We start from the raw sequence: 6,617 nt of genomic DNA, 5'->3' as shown, positions 1-6,617 counted from the left end.
AGCCACAGTATGTTATTTGAGGTAGACCTAGGGAAAGGTGGAGAATGAGATGCTCCTCAAAACTCGTGCTCTACCTAGACACTACTTATGAATTAAAATCTGTCCTAAAAACTCAGGACATAAAACACCAAATAGAACAGAGCAAAAAACAACTGCCCATCATTTGCTGGAGCACTGACTCTGCCATGGTTCTACCTTTCGCTTACTCTTTGGTCTGAGACATGATGATGAAATCCCAAGCCACACCTCATACCTCTGCAGGACATACCTCATATGTGAGCACCAGTTTGAAGTTCAATTTGGGAATCCCAGTCTTAGGCTATGACTCAAGCAGAGGGAAATTCCAAGCTTTTCTTGCAGGGAGGTGGCTCAGCTTTAGAGGCAAAGAGCAGGGGTGAGGGGAGCAGTGGCCCCAACTCTCTCCTGCAGCTGTTTCTCTCCTGACTGCCCATGATCACAGGTTCCTGCTCACTCCTTTTGGACTGTAGCTCCCTCTGAACCTGACCTCTAGAACTCTTCTCTACAGTTAGCTCTATCTAGATTTGGACATATCCCTTTCCCCTTTAAAAATAAGAGTTTAGGAAGGGGAACATCACACTCTGGGGCCTGTTGTGGGGTGGGGGGAGGGGGGAGGGATAGCATTGGGAGATATACCTAATGCTAGATGACGAGTTAGTGGGTGCAGCGCACCAGCATGGCACATGTATACATATGTAACTAACCTGCACATTGTGCACATGTACCCTAAAACTTAAAGTATAATAATAAAAAAAAAAGAAAAGAAAAAAAAATAAGAGTTTAGGTCAGGTTGGTGGCTAACACCTGTAATCCCAGCACGTTGGGAGGCAGAGGTGGGAAGATCACTTGAGCCCAAAGAGATGGAGACCAGCCTGGGCAACATAGTGATACCCCATCTCTACAAAAAATTAAAAAAATTAGCTGGATGAGGTGACGCATGCCTGTGGTCCCAGCTACTCAGGGGGATGAAGTGAGAGGATCACTTGGGCCTGGGAGGTTGAGGCTGCAGTGAGCCAAGATTGTGCTACTGCACTCCAGCCTGGGTGACAGAACAAGACACTGTCTCAAATAAGCAAACACACAAAAAAGAAATAAGAGTTCACATACATTCTTTAGAACACAATGAAGAACAAAGTTGGGAATTTTCCTAAGGAAATTGGTTAAGAATCTAATGTACATAAAGTAACACTTTCCCAAAGAGTGACTGCTAACTTGTAGAAATAAATATTCTATATCTCAGGTAAGATACAATTTGATCACAAATTGGCTCAGCAGGAATATTTGCCTTCTCCCCTAACATACTTCTCTGGCTTAAATGCTGAGCTCATCATGCTGGTGGAAGTTGTTCTGGTGAACTTTCCCTTCCTCTTAGTGCCTGGTTCCTAATTTCTTCTGCAGACACAGCTCCTGGTCACCCACTCTGCTTCTTTACTGTGCAACGTACTCATGTTGCCACCACCCTGCTCAGAATGAGTTGAGCTCCGATTCTTGGCTCCTGAATGAGATCTGAGAAGTTCCTTTTCTTGATTTTAAGCCATTGGCACGGACCTTTAAGCCACCCATATAATACAAGTTTCTAAGGACCCAAAGACTTTTAATCCCTACTTTTGGCTGACCCAATTCTTACTGTCCTGGCTAATTAGTGTCTAAATCAGAGTCCCCCAGAGGGCTTGTTACAAAGTAGAATCCTGGTCCCCACTGCCCACACTGCCATGAGAATCTGCATTGTAGCAAGGCTCTCAAGTGCTGTGTAGAAGTCTAAACTATGCCCTTCGCTTGGTACTTATTAAATGGAGGCACTTAATATGCCAGTAGTGCACCAGGGAAACATAAATGGCAATTTAAAACACTATTTTTGCATTAAAATAAACATAGGTATATTATGGGGTAGAATACACTACTCACAAAACTTTTCAAGTTAAAACAAGAAACCATGAAGTAATTTCTGGTTTACAGTAGGTAATTTCAAACTGTGCCCACAAGGATTTGGGCATGTGCAATTATTACCATCCTCCCTTTTGAGTAATTATGCTGGAAGGTCTGGGAAGCAGGACTTCTTTACCTGTTTCTGAAACTTAACATCTGGGCCTGATTCCATTAATCATAATGTAGCTTTAATAGTGGCTGTGTCTTTCCCAAGGGACAGTACTTGCAATCTTCATGTCATAACCCGCAAAAGACTTCTCTTTTAGATGAAAATTTGGTCATCTTATTGGACAACTACATCCTGTTCCCTGTTTTAAGCCTGAATTCTCAGTGATGGTGTCTTCTGTAAGTTCTGTTGAGATATTTCCCTGTCCTCTCCTCTACACCTCCATCTCCAGAGAGCTGGGTTTTTTTGTTGTTTGTTGTTTTTTGAGATGGAGTCTTGCTCTTTCACCCAGGCTGGAGTGCAGTGGTGTGATCTTGGCTCACTGCAACCTCCCCCTCCCAGATTCAAGTGATTCTCCTGCCTCAGCCTCCTGAGTAGCTGGGATTACAGGTGCGCACCACCACACCTGGTTAATTTGTGTATTTTTAGTAGAAACGGGGTTTCACCACGTTGGCGAGGCTGGTCTCAAACTCCTTACCCCATGATGCTCCCACTTTGGCCTCCCAAAGTGCTGGCATTACAGGTGTGAGCCACCGCGTTGGGCATTTTTTTTTTTTTTTGAAATCTGATTTTCCTCAGGGTTACAGTAGAAAGCATTTTATGCATTCAGTAATAATAAGAGAACACCAAGAGAAGGGCTGTCCTCTATGCTCTCCAAATAACTGACATATTTCCTTAGAGAATTTGGTTGATTCTATTGTGCTGAACATCTAAAGAGGCACAGAAACTAGCAAAGAGGCCTCAGAGATGAAACTAGAAGTGAGTAGCCCACCAATTCCTTAGAAGACCATAAAAGATGCAGAGAAAAACTTGTGGAGTTATTGGAGGTAAGTGCACAGGAATGCATGAAAAATCATATTTAAATTTTGATGGTAGAATCATACCTGATAAAATCCCTTACCAGCAACCACTGTTGTTAGAAGCTCCTGGCTTTATAAGATGGGAGAGAGCAGAAAAACCTCAGTTGTTATTTTAGTATTTCAGTACACTGATAACAGCCTTAAAACATCATTATTATTACTTCTCTTATAGATTAAGAATCCTCTCTGGAACTGTGTAGGAACTTCTTCCTGAACAGAGCTGACACTGGTGATGAAGTGGGGTCATAATGAGAGAATTGTAAGGGAAACTGGTTGCAAATGCTGTACTTGTTCAGTTTATTTGGTCTTGCTTTAAAACAGTTCAAGTGGTAAAATCTCTCCTCAGTCACCAAGGAATCATAGCTATGGCTAAGTAGCTGTGAATTTGAGAAGGAAATGTTTTATAAAGAACAGTTTCATAGGATGCACTGGTTTATGGCCATGTTAGGGCTGACTTAGTAACCTGGGTTGCTTGGGAGGTACTTTCATGCCAATTTATACCTCACTGTAGGGAAAGGCCCAAAATATCAGAATTTCCTTCCCTTGCTATCATTACCACATCTGCCTTCTCCCTGCCAACATAAAGTATGTGCCCTGAAAATGTTCAGCCTTTTTATTCTTTTATTTATTTATTTATTTGAGACAGAGTCTCACTCTGTTGCCCAGGCTGGAGTGCAGTGGTGCGATCTCCTCTTGCTGCAACCTCTGCTTCTCAGATTCAAGTGATTCTCCTGCCTCAGCCTCCCAAGGAGTTGGCATTACAGGCATGCACCACCGCACTCAGCTAATTTTTGTATTTTTAGTAGAGACGGGGTTTTGCCAATTGACTCTGGAAGGTAACCGGATCAAGACCACTACCTTTTCTTGCTTTTTTTTTTTCTTTTTTTGAGACAGAGCCTCACTCTTTTGCCCAGGCAAGAGGCACGATCTCGGCTCACTGCACACTCGGCCTTCTGGGTTCAAGCAATTCTCCTGCCTCAGCTTCCTGAGTAGCTGGGATTACAGGTGTGCACCAGCATGCCTGACCAAATTTTGTATTTTTAGTAGAGATGAGGTTTCTCCATGTTGGCCAGGCTGGTCTCAAACTCCTTTCCTCAAGTGATCTGCCCACCTCCCCCTCCCAAAGTGCTGGGATTACAGGCATGAGCCACCTTGCCGGCCTCAGCCCTTTTATTCTGATGCATGTGAATTAAATTGGAATTTTATGGTAGTTTATAAAGTAATTTACATTTTAGAAAATAGGCTCCTCGGCTCTGAAACAGTTGAGGATCATTTATAAGGACAGAGTGGGCTTAGGTACTGAAGGAATTTTCTCTAGAGCTAAGAATATAGACATTGTCCTGAAAAGATGATATAAGGAAATTATTTTCCAAGCTTTGGATTTTTTTAGCATGATATTGTCCGGCCAGGTTTTAGAAGCTCAACAAATGCTCAATATGTTGCTTATTTTGTAGGAAATAGCAGGTTTGATACAGCCTTTCCCTTAACATCTTCGCTATGCAATTTGAAACTGCATTACTGGGGTTCCTCCTCAAAGTAGGGTGTATGCAATTCCATGGGGAAAATCCTGCCCAGGCCTAATAATAGATGAATAAAATTCTAACATCCTTGGGATTTTCACATGATTGTCAGAAGGCAAAACAGAAGATGATGTAAGTTTAGCAGATATGAATTTTTGGAGTCTATTTTCAATGTACTCTTTAATATCTCAAGTGAGGTAACTTCGTGGCTGTTTATGCTCATTATTTAGTAACAAATAATCAGAGAAAAGCTCTTTGCAGGAAAACTGTTCATTTTGAGTAATAAGCTGGAGCTTAAAGGAAACAATTTTCCTAGCTGTTCTCACTTGCTCTTGATAGGACTAAGCCCCCTGGAGGAGATGAAACTGAAACATTAACCCACCGCGCTGCACAAGTCACCTGAGTTTGCTGAAGGTGCATGGAGATGCCAGGGAGAACCCTCCTCTGCCAGAGAAGAGGTTTTGTAAAATGCCGGCTAAGGCTTTTGGTATCATCTATTTATTAAAATAGCAGCTTTGGCCGGGTGTGGTGGCTCACGCCTGTAATCCCAGCACTTTGGGAGGCTGAGGTGGGTGGATCACTTGAGGTCAGGAGTTTGAGACCAGCTTTGGCAACATGGGGAAACCCCGTCTCTACTAAAAATACAAAAATTAGCCAGGCATGGTGGCACACGCCTGTAATCCCAGCTACTCGGGAGGCTGATGCAGGAGAATCACTTGAACCTGGGAGGGGGAAGTTGCAGTGAGCCAAGATCGTGCCACTGCATTCTAGCCTGGGTGACAGAGTGAGATTCCGTCTCAAAATAAATAAATAAATAAAATAAAATAAAATAAATAAAACATAAAATAGCAGCATTATGGTCTCTCCGTTTCTTGTCACTCCGAGGTGGTCCTCCTGAGGAAATTGGAGCAATAGAAAACTCAGCTGCACTCTGCCTCTCTGCATGGGTGGTTTGTGCTGTCTTTTCTCTCAGGAAGTCTTGGGATCAAAAGTGCTGAGCACAAACAAAAGGGGTGGGCCAGCTTCCTTGCCCCTTTCAGTTCCTTGCCGTTCTGCACTTGAATAAAAAGATCCATGACATTGTTTTTGTGAGTAAGCTTAGATGAAGGGCCCTGGTAGGTTCCTTTTCAAATACCCAGGAAGTAATGTGTCTTATAAAAAGTAACATTTGTATAATTAAAATAAGATAAAGTAATAAAATAATAAATAATAAGTTAAACCAGGCTGAATGTCTCCTAGAGACACTAACAATAGTAGTATTTGAGTATAAGAAAATAGATGAAAAAAATAGATTTCATGTGAAATCCAGATCACACTGGACCCTTCTGATCTAATTAAAAACCTTTCAGCCTGGCTGGTTGGCTTGGCTGTTCCATGCTTTCTGTAGAGTATTTCCACCAGAATGTGGGAGTTCTGGGAAGCCTGAGGCCGTGTCTGATGTGCTGAGTGATAGGGAGCTGGTTAATGTGGTTCCTGGAAGAAGCGATGACTTTTCTCTACGTGCTGCTTCTATTCTGAACACACCTCAAACCACTCAACACGCTCCTTATAGATCTTGGTTAAAAGCCATTTCCCAGCCCCCGAAGTGCAGCTATCATACGTGGGACTATTTTTGAAATTTATCAGACAATGCACCATTATATATTTGAGGGAGACCTTAGATTTTATTTGTGAATACATTTTTATTTGAAATGAGATGTTTAACAATGTTAAAAATGTTGAAAAAATGGTAATCATGCCATCTCAACACAACTGCTGCCATTTTTTGCTTATTATAATGTTCATGTTTTATATAGCTGCAATTGTAGTATCATTTTAGCTCTGCTTTTTATTTTAATAACACTTCACATTTTTCACATTGCCATATATTTTTCTTAGCTATTTTTCTCAGTGTCTGCATCTTAATTTATTGTGTAATGTAACTACAATGTCTTGTTGACTGTTCAAATTGTGACTTTTTTTCGTTTCCTCTTTCTTCATAGGGTTTTTGCTTCTACTGAATTATTTTCTTGGGATAAAGTCTTAGGAATAAAATTACTAGGCTACAGTTTATGACAGTCTTTGTTGTTCTGCCTGTTCTTTGTCATATTTCTTTCCCCAAAAATGTTTATAATACCAATGCCAACA

General features: G+C 41.5%; 1 annotated feature.

The window, feature by feature from the left end:
* Nucleotides 5,266–5,767: an enhancer, noted in NCBI's record as "NANOG hESC enhancer chr10:33855273-33855774 (GRCh37/hg19 assembly coordinates)". NCBI's record gives its function as "activates a minimal SCP1, AML or CMV promoter by ChIP-STARR-seq in naive H9 embryonic stem cells {active_cell/tissue: H9 hESC(naive)}" and the evidence as "EXISTENCE:reporter gene assay evidence [ECO:0000049][PMID:30033119]".

The sequence above is a fragment of the Homo sapiens genome, chromosome 10, assembly GCF_000001405.40.
Source record: "Homo sapiens chromosome 10, GRCh38.p14 Primary Assembly".
Taxonomy (NCBI): domain Eukaryota; kingdom Metazoa; phylum Chordata; class Mammalia; order Primates; family Hominidae; genus Homo; species Homo sapiens.
The sequence above is the reverse complement of the archived record's forward strand: the minus strand, read 5'-3'. Positions and strand labels throughout refer to the sequence as shown.